A 15,954-nucleotide genomic window follows, 5' to 3' on the forward strand; every position below is an offset into this window, starting at 1 on the left:
CATATTTAAATAGATGACTTATCTCCTCTAATCTTTTGTGCTTCTAGTCTTTAATTCATTTTTTAAAATTCCCATTGTCATAGTCCCAGCTTATGTTAGCCGAGAAATAATCTTGTTTAAACGTGTGCACGTAGGCCGGACGCGGTGGCTCACGCCTGTAATTCCAGCACTTTGGGAGGCCGAGGCGCGTGGATTACGAGGTCAGGAGATGGAGACAATCCTGGCTAACACGGTGAAACCCCGTCTCTACTAAAAATACAAAAAATTAGCCAGGGGTGGCAGCGGGCACCTCCAGTCCCAGCTACTCAGGAAGCTGAGGCAGGAGAATGGCGTGAACCCGAAAGGCGGAGCTTGCAGTGAGCCAAGATCACGCCACTGCGCTCCAGCCTGGGCGGCAGAGCGAGACTCCATCTCAAAAAAAAAAAGTGTGCACAGAAGTTGATTTCTTTCAGCCTGTGTGCAACATTGAAGGTGGCATTGAAATTAGAGAATATAATGAGGAGTATCTCAAATGTAAAACAAATTTTACTGCCTTTTCTCAGTGTTCACCATCCCATAGGAATTAATAAAATCAAATTCACGGTAATAATTCAGTTATCACTGTCTTTGCTAACATGGAATCTCTAGGCCTCAGCAATGTCCCTTCCAGGTGTCCTTAGTCGTCCTCAGGGAGAGGCTTTCAAGTGCTTGAAAATATGAATACTCGCCAAAGAGCAGCCGATACTCCATTTCTCAGTGCCCTCATAAAACCCAGCTGAAACTGAATAACTTTTGTAATGTTTAATGGCTTTTCCCCTTTCTGTCATATTTTACTAAATACTTCTCAAATCAGCCCTATTTGCACTCTAGTATCTTAGAATATTTGGTGAAACAGCTCCTTCAATCCTGTTGTTTTGTTTCCATGTGTATCTGAGTTTATTCTTAGAATCTACATAGGTAATCAAGGCTTAGGCTAGGTGCGGATTGCATAGGAGCTACCATACCGTGCTCAGTGTCACAAATATGATTTTGCAGCTTACTCAGTGTCTTAGTGCCTAACTCCTCCTTCTCCTGAATAGACTATATTGTTATTATCTGAGAAGATTCTCTAGCCCCTCAGCTAATAGCTTCTCTTTGGCCAACATAAGCAGTTAATCACACACACCCAGACCTGTCCCTAAATGAGTCTGAACTCAAGCTGGAACCTCTGACAAAACCATGTAATTGTCCTTATATATAAAAATTTATGTTACCAAGTAGTCACTGCATTTTTAAAAGTAAGACATTAATACTATGTAAAAGATTTGTTTCTCTTTTGGAACCAATGGCCATCATGCCCATCACTTTCTGAATTCACACCTTCCAAAGAGGTCCAATTTGAGGGGCCCTGGAGAAAAGACGACTGTAGGAAACCATGAACAATGCTGTGTTGGCTAAAGTATCACAATGCTGCCTCGTGGAATTAGCTATAGACCACATTTAATAGAATCTTCTCTTCTTTCATCTGGGTAACATTTACCAGTCTTTCCATAGGGAGAAGAAGAAATAACAGTTGGCGTTCTGTTCTGCTGAGACACAAAAAGCAGGCACACGTTGAAGGTCAACGCTACAGTCTGTCAAGTTGTGGGATGTGTGTGAGGCAGAGCATTTGTTTCATTCCCCCCTCATATTAAAGAAAGTATCTAATCATGTCCCTTTGAGCAAAAGGATGAAAAAAAAAACTTGGAAAGCATCAGTGTTCTTTGGATCACTTGACAGTGCATGAATTATCAACATATATGAAATTATTCATTTATGCAAAACTGTAATTTGTATAGCCTCTTATTCAGCATGAATACTATACATGTGTGCCAAACACACACAGTCGTAACTTCATTAGAATAAGTATTCAAGGCAGGGATGTCTAACCTCTAATTTCCTTCCCTGTCGCACACACACGCACACATAAATTGCAAGAGAAAGTCCGCATTTCCTCATGATAGCCCCCTTTGTTAAAGGCAGTAACCAAAATATAGAAAATACGCAATGTTCACTGGAGAAGATTTTTATAATTGTGTGAGCAAAGTGGAGACTCCAAAGGCAATATCTGAAGGCTACGTGATCCCTTGAAAATGACAGGAACTTCACATTCCTGAAGGAATGTTACAAGGTAGCAGCAGATGAAAGTGCAGGGAGAGAAAAAAGACATATTCATTTCACATTTAAAGCACTACCACTATAGAAAATATACAGAATCTGTCCTCTTAATTATTCCACAAATTTAGTATTAATTAGCTAAGGGTTTTGAAAGTTTCACAGTAAGAGTGAAATAATTGTATAAATTCATTCTATAAAAAGAACCAACTTCCTGATTATTTGGATTATCTCAGTAGGAGATAAAGAAGGAGAAAGAGGAGGAGAAGAAGGAGTAGGAGAAAAGAAAGAAACAAAAACAACTAAAATGTCGCAACCTATTGGGCTAAGTAAATACAACCAAAACAACTAACAGATGGCTTTTTCTTTATGATCAATTTTTATGTGCCCAATAGTAATATTTACATTTGTGGTTTTTTTTCCAGGGATAGTGGAATGGGAGATCAAGGGTGATGGTTACAGTAACCAACTCTGTTCATTCTTTCTGACAGAAGAAATGCCATTTCAGGAGTAGTGGTTGTGGTGGTGGTGGTGGCTAGCTTTCCAACTGTCTTTATGGGCAGGCACAAAGGAAAGGGTAGAGGCAGCCAAAACTATTCAACAGCAAAGACTCATTAGTGTCTGAATGTGGAGCCCCAGCAACACAGCCCTTTGTAGAGTGAGTAAATGCCAGGAATGCTCACTGCTTTCCTCTTACCCAAACCCTACTCCAGCTCTTAACTGCGGAAGCTTTCATTGATTTGATTTGTTTTTAGCAAAGGAGGGAGAAGGGAGTCCCAAACAAGTTGAGCAAGAGGCTTAATCCCACACTGTTTTCCAAGAAGAAAATCTTTGATGGACAGTCTACCTCTATAACCTCATCCTGTACATCTCTAGTCTACGGAATCCTCAGTGGACCTTCAAAGAGCTAAGCGTTAACTCTAGACATGCCTAATGGGACTGGCTGTTCAGCCCAGTGGAGCTGTTATTTAGAATAGTGGACAATTGACAAGCCATCTGATTAAGATTTTATTATTTTTGTTATTAGTAGTGGTATTTAAATAGAGGTAGAAAGGAAGAAATAAAAGTTGTAAAATGCTGCATGAAACCTCTTTGACTCATCATTTATATCTCCAATATCCAGATATTTTGTTATCATCAACCAACCACTGAGCACATTGAAATGACATATCATTGTGGAAAAGAAAAAAAGATGCCAAATATCACATAAAAAGAAGAAACACTAATCCAAGTCTACTTACTTTATGTAGAGCTAGCTATGAAGATAATGTTTTAAATTGTTATTAGAGACTTCTGGTTTCAGCTCTGAAATGAGAGTGATCATTTCCATGCTGTATGTAAATACTACTACAAGAGAAAGTTGGATGGTTGTAGGGCAAACCAACACCCTGAAATTGGGAGAAACAAGCACATGGAGAGAATGACAGCTAAGATCAGCTGACCAGGAGCAGAAGCAGCTGGAGCACATAAACTGGTAAGACACTTAACTGGTGATTTGGTGAATCGCTGGAGTCAGAATGTGGACTACTACTCTGAGAGTGAGAAACTCCATTTGGGCTGTAGTACTGGGGAGCTTTGCCCCTTTAAGGGCTTTAACTCCAGAAATCACACTGGGCAATCATGATAAATAGCTGAGCTCTCATGGCTTTGATAAAGGGAGATAAAAGTAATTATTGTAAAATACATCCAGAGCTTTCTCTATAACAGAGCCCTACTCTGCAGGGGAAATATTTTTGCAGATCCTTATCCCAGTTGGAGAAGGGCATTTCTTCTACTTTATCCCCCTTGAGTCCTTCTAGTCTCACCAAAGTGTGGTTGTGTGTATGGAGGGAATAGTCAACAGAGATCAGGACTTCAAGGAGATAAATTGGGAACACTGTAGTCAGGGAAGTAGGGAAGTGGGATGGGGAGGGGCTATATCACTGAAAAACACTTGTGAAAGTCAGAGCCCAGAGACACAGGCTCACTAAAAGACTGAGGTATAATTGGAACATTATAGAACATTCCTCTCCCCCATATCTTACCCCCACATCAGCAAGGCTCCAGTATAAATATAATTACAATAGGTCACAGTTGAAAAAGTTGTAAGACCCACTTTCTGAGGAGGAATATTTAGAGAAGGCCAAAGTAAATGAGGGAGATGAGTAAAAGGAATACTCGAGGAATATGAGGCCTCTGACAACTACAGGTACAGCAAATATTAAAGACAGTCTAGCTCCTAGCCAGATTAACATAAAACTCCACACTAAAGGTCTATTTAATCAGTAGGCCAAGAAGTAAGAAAAAGAAAAAAAACGTGAGGAAACAAAGCAACCATAAGAAACAGATTCGTATGTTACACAGAGGTTAGAATTATTAGACAAGGAACTTGAAATAACTATGATTAGTATGTTAAGGGGTCTAACAGAAAAAGTAGACAGCATGTAAAGTACAGATAGATAATATAAGCAGAGAAAGGAAGCTCTAAGGAAGTGCAAAAAGAAAAGGCTGGTAATAAAAAGTACTGAAACAGAAACAGAAAATGCCTTTGATGGGCTTATCAGTAGACTTGACCTGACCAATAAAATAATCAGAGAACCTGAAAATAGGACAATAAAAACTTTCCAAACTAAAATAAGAAAAGATAAAAAGAATATCATAACACCCAAGAGCAAGAGCTAGGAACATTTTTTCAACAGGTGTAAACTATGCATTATTGGAATACCAAAAGGAGAAGAAAGAACAATTGGAACAGGAAAAAACACTTGAAATATTTATGGTCAAGAATTTTCCAAAATTAATGACACACACCAAACCATAAATCCATGATCCAGGAAGCTCAGAGAGCCCTAGCAGGATGAATATCAAGAAAACATACCTCAGTATATTATATTCATACTGCAAAAAACCAAAAACAATTAGAAAATCTTGAAAGAAGCTGAGACGGGTGCTTGGGAAGGCATTAATTAAAGAGAATCAAGAATAACAATTACAGAAGACTTCTCATCAGAAACCATGCAAACAAGAAGTGAGAGAAGTGAAATGTTTAAAGTGTTGATGAGGAGGGAAAAAAAGCATCAATAATTGAGACAATTGATTATGAGCAGACCTGCCCTGCATGAAAAAGTTCTTTAGGCAGAAAGAAAATGATATAGGTTAGAAATTTGGTTACATGTAAGGAAAGAAATAATATCAAAGAATAAATGAAAGGAAAATACAATCTTTTATTTTTTATATTTTCATTGATCTGATAATTTTACAGTGTTTAATGTAACAATGGTAATACATTGAGTGATCGTAGTATATGAATAAGTAAAATGAATAACAATAATGTTGCAAGGGATGAGAGAGAGAAATCAGGAATATTATGTACTTACACTACTTATGAAGTAATATAGGGTTATCTGAAGACAAATTATTAAAAATTTGCATGGCAAAATCTAGAAAACCATCATAATTTTTTTAAAAGCATAATTGTTATGGTAAGAGAAAAGATAATGTAGAATCATTTTCAATGCTTAATTACAACTGGAGAAGGGAGAACAATAGGAATGAAAAATAAAAAGCAAATGCCACAAATAGAAAATAACTATGAACCTAGCAGATATTTATCCAACTTTATCAATAATTACTTTATATATGATTATCTAAAGGCTTCAGTTAAAACACAGAGATTGCCAGAGTTTGTATAAGAAGGCTACTTTAAATATAACTCAGGTAGAATGAATAGAGATATGCTATGTTACTATGCTAACAGTAATCAAAAGAAATCTGAAGTAACTATGTCTATGTTAGTTTCAGACAAAGCTGACTTTGAAACAAGGAAAATGCTTAGGAATAGAAATGATATTATCTAATGATAAAGAGACATTATATAATGACAAGGGGGCATTACGTAACTATAATGTTCAAGAATATATAATAACCCTAAACATGTATGCACCTAATAAGAGACCACTAAAATACATGAGGCAAAAACTGATAGAACTAGACAAATGCACTATTATAGTTGCAGCCTTAATCACTCATCTGTCAGTAATTGATATATAAAGCAGGCAGAAAATCAACAATGATATAGTTGACCTGAATAGCACTGTCAACTTGATTCTCCATCCAACAGAGGCAGAATACACATTCTTCTTAAGTTCACTCAAAACATTTGCCAAGATGACATATTGATCCATAAAACACACATTAACAAACTTAAAAGAAAGGAAGTTATAAAAAATACAATTAAAGCAGAAATCAATAATAGAAAGATAACTAGAAAATTTCAAAATATTTGGAAATTAAACAACACATCTAGACAACAGATGAGTCAAAGAATGTCTCAAGATAGTTTTAAAAGATTTTAATTAATAAAAATGAAAATACAAGATATCAGAATTTTGGGGTATAGCAAAAGCAATGCTTAGGGGAAATTTATAGTTTTAAAGACTTTGGATAACTTAGATGAAGTAGATTAACTCCTTGGTCAAAATCCACACAAGGGGAAATAGATAACCTGAATAGCCTGGAAAAGGCAATAGTATAGAGATGATAAACAGACCCATTGTTGCATTTGTCAAAACCCACAGAATTTTACAGGATGTAGTGTGAGTCTTAATGTATGCAAACAAAAAAATTCATTTAGGAGGTTGAAAGATCTCAGAATGGAATGCAGATTATGATAAATGAATCTAACTGTATTACAAAGGTTTGAGTTGGCTTCACTGGAGGAGGTAGGAGAAAATGGAGCTGACCTAACTTTGAAAATGGGTGGATTTTTTAATAATCAAGGCAAAAAAGAGCTGTATATAAGAGTTTAGTTGATAAAGGTGTTTCCCATAGGTGTACAGATAAACAATTCTAAATGTAATCCCAGCTACTTGGGAGGCTGAGGCATGAGAATCGCTTGAACCTGGGAGGTGGAATTTGCAGCGAACCAAGATTGTGCCACTGCACTCCAGCACCTGGGTGACAATGAGACTCCATCTCAAAAAACAAAACAAAACAAAAACACATTTCTATACATGTAAACTGAAATCGAACAATTAAACAAAGGGATGGTAGTTGGTGATAGCCAGATGTCTCTGTTGGAGTGAGAAGTTACAGGTAAGCAAGTGGAGGAGGCTAGAATGATCCATGTGGTAAGAATGATTTGATTTGGTGACATGAACATGAGTTCATGTTTAGCTTCAGATAAACACACATGGTTAATAGAGGTATTTATAGATCTGTGTATATACTTGGGCTAGTATACACACATACATTCCCTTGCTCCGTCAGCTGAGATGGCCTAGAAACAATAACACTCTAGTAGCAACAAGCACGCCTAGAGCTTACATATTGATTTATAATTCCATTTTCTTATAAAAGGAAACAGAACTTCTTGAAGAAGTGGCTGAGTCTAGAACTAGGGCAGCAAATATACAATATGAGTCTGGAGCATCCTGTAGTGCCAGAAAGTAAGAAAGTTCTCAAACACACACACTCAAACACACAAACATACACAGACATGCACATGATGGGGGTATGTCAAGGAGTCACAAAGAGCCAACTGAAAGCATTCCCGCTAGCCAAAGTATTGAAGCAATTTGAACAACAAAATAGGGTAGTTATTGATTATAACCTAAAGTATAGAATAAATATCTGAAAGCCAATACTAATATAAACAAATGGTTAAAAAGATACATATAAAAGGCAAATTTCCCATTCAGAAGAACTCCAAATAAATTTTGTAGATATTTCACTCTCACAGAGGTGGAACAGAACCACCCCACTCCTTAAAGTATGGGCTGTGCAGCTGGGCACGGTGGCTCACGCCTGTAATCCCAGCACTTTTGAGAGGTCAAGGTCGGGGGATCACGAGGTCAGGCATTCAAGACCAGCCTGGCCAACATGGTGAAACCTCATCTCTACTAAAAATACAAAAAAAAAAAAAAAAAAAATCAGCTGGGCATGGTGGTGGGCCCCTGTAATTCCAGCTACTTGCTTGAACCCGGGAGGCAGAGGTTGCAGTGAGCTGAGATCGTGCCATTGCACTCCAGCCTGGGTGACAGAGCGAGACTCCGACTCAAAAAAAAAAAAAAAAAAAAAGTATGGGCTCTGCTTAGTAACCTCCTTTCAAAGAGTGAAGCATGTAAAGGGGGAAGAGGGGGTGTGACTTTACAGGGGAGAAAACTGATGGACGGACACTACCTCAGACAGGGGATCAAGGAGAATGTCAATATTGATGTCATGTTGACAGAATGTACCCTTGATACGATGTGATGAGAATAGCACTTTACCTTTGTGGTCTTCTTTCCCAAAACTCATAACCTCAGTCTAATCATGAGAAAAGCATAAGACAAATACCAATTAAGGGATATTCTAGAAAATACCTGACCAGTACTTCTCAAAACTGTCAAGGAAATTAAAATAAGGAAAGTCTGAGATTGTCACAGCCAAAAGGATCCTAAGGAGACATGGTGACTAAATGTAATATGGTATCCTGAATGGGATACCCTAGAACAGAAAAAGAAATTAAATAAAAACTAAGCGAATCTGAATAAAGTATGGACTTTGGTTAAAGGTAATATAATTGTGACAAATGTACCATAGCAATGTAAGTTGATAATATAGTAAGTAGGGTGTGAGGTTTATGAGAATTCTCTGTTTAGATTACCTTCACATTTTTTCTGTAAATTTAACGGTTCTCTAAATTAAAATGTATGTTTAAAAATTACTATTGGAGCTAAAATTTTTCAGCCTTTCTTTAAACATTTTAAAATAACATAAGTAGTACATGGTTATTGAACAAAAATTATAAAATAAAATAGGCAAAAAGAAAGTAAAAAAATCACCAAAATTTCAATTCTTAAAAATAACCACTGTTAATATTTGGGGGTATTACTATTCAGACTTACACATATATATTTTTTCTTTATATTAGGATAATCCTATATGCACCATTTTGAATCCTGTGTTTTTTCACAAAAATATATATTTTCAATATCAATTCATTGTAAAAACAGACATCTTTATCATAATGTTTAATTATGACAGTATTCTATTTTGCCTTTGTAATGTGATTCATGTAACTAGTCTCCCTACTGAAGCATTAAATTATAGATTTCCCGCCAAACCCTTTGTAAGCATACTAATAAATTATTTCAGGTTAAAATCTTAGAAGCAGATTGTTTAATTAAAAGATATGTTCTTTCTAAAGCTGTTTGATATATATTGATACGTTTCCTTACAGAGTGGTTATACAATTTTATACTCCTCCTAGCAGTATAACTGCATGGACTTTTCTTTATCTCTTAGTCTGTCTTGTGCCACTATAAGAAAATACCATATGCTGAACAATTTATAAAGAATGGAAATTTCTCACAGTTCTAGGGGGTGGAAGGTCCAAGATCAAGGCCCAAAGTCCAGGTTCATTGTCTGCTAAGGGTGCACTCTCTGCTTCCAAAATAGTGACTTAAACACTGTGTCCTCCAGAGCAGAACACTATGTCCTCAGATGGCAGAAGGCAGAAGAGCAAAAAGGGACAATCTTCCTCTGTCAAGCCTTTCTATAAGGGTATATACCTCATCCCTTTCATGGGGTAGAGCCCTCTGGACTCAATCACCTCCTGAAGGCCACACCACCTAAGCGTACTCTCTTCAGAATTTAGAATTACATGCTTACAATAAAAAAAAATAATTTTCCAATGTAGAAGAAAAAAAAGATATTTGATTGTTATTTTAATTTGCATTTATTTATTAGGTTGGTGCAAAAGTAATTGCGGTTTTTGCCATTAGTGAGATTGAAGATGTATTCACATATTTAATGCTCATTTTCATTTATTTTGTGAATAGCCTCTATGTATCTTTTGCTTGTTTTTCTATGATTGTATGTCTTTCATTTAATTTGTTAGAATTCTTTATATATTAACAAGAGTAGTTCTGATATAAATGCTACCAATATTTTTCCATTTAGTTTAAAATTTCTTATAATTTTTTTCTTCTTTCCTTTCTTCCTTCCTTCTTCCCTTCCTCCCTCTCTGTCTCATTTTCTCTCCTTTTCTTTCCTTTCTTCTTTTTGCAATAAAGCCAACTATATTAAGCATTTGTTTTATACTTGTACCTCATAATTTGTTGTTATTTGTTGTGAGGTAGGGATATAACATTTTTTTTCAAGAAAGTATTAACCAGCAATTCTAACACTTCTCATGGTACATCCTTTCCCTACTGATTTACAGTTTCACTGTATAATTTTAGACACTTGTTTCTATTTCTTGGTCTCCTAATGTCATTTTTTAAATTTCAATGCCTCTTCCAGCATATGGAACATTTTTAATTTGTCATTTTCATTTTGATGACTAAATTGACAACTTCCTGAATCTTCCTGTTGCTTAGCAAACCTCAATAACCTTGAGAATGTGCAGATTTCAGGAAGTCTTTTCTTCTTTGACCACCTCCTGGGAGGAAGGGGGGCCTGGAATTTACTAATCTGAGTGGAGGTTTTAGTGTCAAATACTCTGGCCTTGGCCTTTGTGAAAGAGGAGACCATTTCCTGACCAATGATTGTCTAAATGTTAATTCCATTTTAAAAGTCAGACAATTTCGTGACCTGTTTGTTCAGATGTTAACACATGTTAAGTGCAATTGATTCTCTTGTTTTACGTTGTAGGCTTAACACTCAAGAGGTCAGGAAGGATTAGTCTCCATACCAATCTGCCCCATCCCATAGCAGTAGCACAGGATAGTCCCATGAAACTGGTCAAAAGCTTTCTCACTCTGAAAGTGAACACCATTCACCCTTAAAGCATTTATTTTCTGCTATCAAGGCAAGCTTCTCTGGGCAGGAACATGCTTTGTTAAGACTTGTTAAATCTTAACATTTCTGAGAACTCTATTCCTCCCATGTTAACAGAAGTACTTTCTTAATCACCATTTCTATTAGTGGATGCATTACGTAAGATTGGAAAAATTTTAGGGATTTGAAATCTAAGCAGTTTTAAGTGACCCAATGGATCCATGGTAAGGCTGGATCTATGGATGAGCTTTTTTCTTTCTTTCTTTCTTTTTTGTCTTACCTTACTGTTTGCTCTAAGTTTTCCAGGAAAGCAGAATTTTATGTTTGAATTTGATGCTTCTATTTATTGAATGTACATGTTTCTTCTACACATGAAGTGGCTTAGTGGTTAAAGGTATAGATAACTGAGTCAGATGGGACTCAAATTCTGGCTCCACTATTGCTAAGAATAATTATGGGAAATAAGGCAAAAGGATCACAATGATTTTTCAGTGTTATACTACAGCATTGTCTAAAAGACCCACCCAAGGATTCTTTAATTACTGTTTTTGATTTACAATTCAGATCATCTGCCCAAATATTTTAGTCTTAGGGCCCTTTTACATTTTAATTAGTTATTAAGGACACCAAATAACTCTTATTTGTGTGAGTGTATTTATTGATATTCATCATATTAGAAATTAAAAGAGAGAAAATTTTAAAGTATTTATTAGTTCATGAAAAAATAATCATAGTGATAGACCAATTACATGTTAACAGGAATAACTTTTTCTTTTTTTTTTTTTTTCCAAGACAGTCTTGCACTGTTGCCCGAGCTGGAGTGCAATGGTGCAATCTCAGCTCACTGCAACCTCCGCCTCCAGGGTTCAGGTGATTCTCCTGTCTCAGCCTCCCAAGTAGCTGGGATTACAGGTGCACACCACCACACCCAGCTAATTTTTTTTTTTTTTTTTGTATTTTTAGTAGAGACAGGGTTTCACTATGTTGGCCAGAATGGTCTCCAACTCCTGACCTTGTGATCCACCCACCTTGGCCTCGCAAAATGCTGGGATTACAGGCGTGAGCCACCGCATCCAGCCAGGAATAACATATTTTAAGAAAAAATAACTATTAATATGTTTTCCAAAGCAAAAAATTTCGTAAGATGAATGGCATCTGATGGGAGTTCAGGACATGCTGCCTCAAAATATGGCACCTTGGCACTGAGAAAATAGAAACAATAAGGTCTCTCTGAGTTTCTCCCCTGAAGCAGGCAATAAAACCTCTGTGTATAGGTACCCTCCCTATATACAGAAGAAGCAAATGTCTTTATCTCTGAAGACATGGAAACACAAAGAAGAATCTGAACAAACAAGCCATGTTAAGTTCCTCCCAGTTTACCTTTAAATCATACTCTCTTTGTCTGATCATAGTTCTCCATAACTATCCACTTATTCATCAAAGTTAGCATGAAAATACCTAGGTTTCTCTATTTATTTGGGTCTTCATTACCTTATGAAGGCTCCCATGTCGCATAAAACTTAAATACATTTCTATGCTTTTCTCTTATCAATTGTCTTGTTATAGGGGCCTCAGCCATGAACCTAGCAATGAGTGAAAAAAGAAATCTCTTCTTTCCTATACATAGTTTTCTGTTTTTGCACTTCTCCTCAATTTTTACAAATAGAAGTAAACCGTGTTCTCATATCTGCTCCTGCACTTAATCTGTTCCTGTATATTGTTTTGGTTGAAGTTTATAAAGAAAATTTGGCATCATAAAAGTATGTAGTTGGAAGAGTCTTTAATTGCATCTTCTGACAGTTGTGGATATTCTTTGTTAATACACTGAAACTATGCAAGCATTTGCTTGGAAAGATTAGTTGCAATGTGGAATCTGAAACCACATTAGTGAACTTTTTGCATTTCACATTAATGTATTGGTATATTTTGCAGTTTAAATGTGTTATTTGCCTGTGCATAATTTTGTACCATCATGCATTGTCATTTGGAAAATATTGATTTATTAATTATGCAAATATTCTAAATGTTAATGCATTTCTTTATATCAAAAATTATAACTATTAATATCACTATTGATCTTATCAGATAAGTCTTTAACTATTAGGAAGCTATCAAGCTCATGGTTGCAGGCATACTTTTTCCAAAATTCTAATTTTAGCTTGAAAGTTCTAATTTTATCAAATCAACAAATATTGATAGTTTTTTTGAAGGGTCATAATTACTTTTTTCATATTTAAGAAAATGCCTACTGAATAGCTAGATCTGAAAAACTATGGCTTTTTACTTTTTTTCCAAAGAAAGTGATTTATTTATTTATTTATTTATTTTAAGACGGAGTCTAGCCCTGTCGCCCAGGCTGGAGTGCAATGGCGTGATCTCGGCTCACTGCAACCTCTGCCTCCCAAGTTCAAGCAATTCACCTGCCTCAGCCTCCAGAGTAGCTGGGACTACAGGCGCCCGCCACCATGCCCAGCTAAGTTTTTTGTATTTTTAGTAGAGAAGGGGTTTCATCATGTTGCCCAGGCTGGTCTCTAACTCCTGAGCTCAGGCAATTCACCCGCCTCAGCCTCCCAAAGTGCTAGAATTATAGGCGTGAGCCACCGCGCACGGCCAGAAAGTGATACTTTTATTTCATGAAAATGAAATCTGAAAAGCATTAGCCAACCCACTCCTGAGCTCAGACTGCAAGGTTTACTTGCACTGACTTCGTAAAATGTCTAGGTCAGTTAACAACTTAAATAAAAGGGCTTCTCCTCAAGACTACTGTGGAATTTCACTAGGCAGCAGAAGTTTGTTATGTGTACTTCTTATTTTGGAACATAGAATATTACAAAGATATATACTCAAAGTTTGAAATGTAATAAAATTAATGTTCTTATATTAAGGGCATCTTACACAAAACAATTTTTTTTAAATCTGTGAATATCTGGTGGTAAAGAAGGTAATGGCTACCAGTAGAGTGGTGTTATCAATTTCACCCACCATTGTTCAATGTAAATTTCAATTCAGTAAAAAGGAAAATAATAAGTCATTATTATTATAAAAGCAGTTTTGACCTGTAGGCCTCTGAAAGAGGTTCAGTTTTTCTAGAAGCTGGAGGATCACAGTTTGAGATTTGATGACTTGTATTTTAGCATGTAGAGCCAGTAAAATAGCACGTAATTTCTTTCTGGTAAAGAACATAACCCTAAAATAATAGATTTATTTTTCTATAAAGCATAAACTAGTTTGTCTCTAACTTAGCAAACTTATTTCTGCATGCTTTTCCTAAATGACTATATAACCTCTGTTTCTCAGATTCTCTTGAATCAGCTGCACTGTTCTGTTAGTTCTTTCATTAATGAGTTAAATATTAACACTTACATGTTCCCACCATATATTTGCTTAAGAATTATGTCTTACCTCTTAAAAATTATGTTTTGACACCACTTACTATGTGCTGTTGAGTATGTGGTTTAAATTCTCTATGCCTTATCTGTCAAATGGAAATATTTATAGCTACTACATAGGGTTATTGTAATAAGCAAATGATTTAATACACGTACCACACTTAGAACAGTGTCTGGCATAGCATAAATACTGAACACTATATAAGTTTATCTATTACTCTTTATATTATTAAGAAAAATTCTCTAATAAATGTTTTTAAATAGACATCTCCTCCACCCTAGGAAAAAACAATTAATTCTCATGTGACTAGTTTTGAAAACATGAAAACAGTCCAAAATTTTAGCATTTATACAAATGTTTAAAATAAACCTAACATCCCAAAAGACTATCTTGTCCTTTCTCTGATACATAAGGTGAGGTGAAACCAAAAGAACTACAAAAATCTCTGTACTTGGTGATCTTTCCCCAAGAGCAAATGCTGTGTAAAATAAGCCCTATACTCAGCTGAGGTGAGTCAATGGGGTTTGGTTTTCAGATAACTCTCCCCTCAAGTCCTGCTTTGCTTCTGTTGACTCAGTTATTTGCCAATTATTGGATGAGTGCAAAACATCTGAGAATGACAGAAACAAACCTTCAGTGAAGTTATGCAGTTCCAGTCATGATGTAGCCAGAAAATGCACTGAAAATGGAATCTGAAAGGCATTAGCCAACCCACTCCTGAGCTCAGGCTGCAAGGTTTACTTGTACTGATATTCATAAAAATAGTTTAAGTATGAATCAGGGAAGAGTAACTATTTTAAAGCTGCCAATAGTTTCTTTTTATTGCTTGAGGTAGAGTGAAGTAGAGAGTTGAAAATTGTTAAAGTAGGAATATTTTGCATTTTGTTTTAAACATAGAATTTGTCATGGGGTAGATCTTTCCTTCCTTCCTTCCAAAAGGCATCATTTTAGCCAGTGTTTTCTAGCCTTGTAGATGCAAAGTCATTATACTGGCAAAAACAAATCCAAAGGCAGAGACTGCAGACTGAGATGTTATTCCATTATTGATTCAAACTGCTGTCTTGGCCTTTGCTGAGATGAGTATGGCTCTGTGTACTTGTTCTTTCTCTCCCAGAGGCCTGAGAGAGGGCAGGACTCCTGGACTTCATAAAAGAAAGGAACAGGGAGTAACTCAATCTTTTTTTCTTAAACTGGTCAATTTTTGTTTATTGATAGTTTTAAAAAGTTTCTTTCAGTGTTGTAACTTCATATTGTCAATGCCATATAAATTATTCAAATAGTTGCCAAATTTACAAAAACTTCTCTTCAGTTTGTTAATGTTTGTAAGATTTTAGAGAATTTCAAATTTTTTTGAACAGCAACTAATCTGAAATACTCTTTCAATTGATAATGCTCATTGATCAGTTTGTCAACAATGTTCTCATTTTATGATTTATTGTGAGTTTTATATTATCTGATATGTGTTTTGTCAAATCAAAAATGTAAAGCTTTTAAAATTTGTTCACATAGTTCCCTCCTCCCCACTAATGAAATCATTAAATAATCGAAGGACCTCCTAATACTTCTTTGTAAAATGTATCGTTTCGTCCAAATGACTGTTCCTTTTGGCATGATCCAAAAAATATTTTGTTACAATTTACTTTTTGTAGTTAGAATAATTTCTATCAATTTTGTTGCTCCTATGTATTGCTTCTGTTTCATATTTCATCT

The 15,954-nt window shown here is 35.8% G+C and overlaps 1 long non-coding RNA gene across 2 annotated transcripts in view; it reads left to right on the forward strand.

Moving 5' to 3' along the window:
* LINC01818 (long intergenic non-protein coding RNA 1818) overlaps window positions 1-15,954 on the forward strand; it is a 186,703-nt gene that overhangs the window by 87,797 nt on the left and 82,952 nt on the right. The gene's annotated exons all lie outside the window — the stretch shown is intronic.

The sequence above is a fragment of the Homo sapiens genome, chromosome 2 (genome assembly GCF_000001405.40).
Source record: "Homo sapiens chromosome 2, GRCh38.p14 Primary Assembly".
Lineage (NCBI taxonomy): Eukaryota > Metazoa > Chordata > Mammalia > Primates > Hominidae > Homo > Homo sapiens.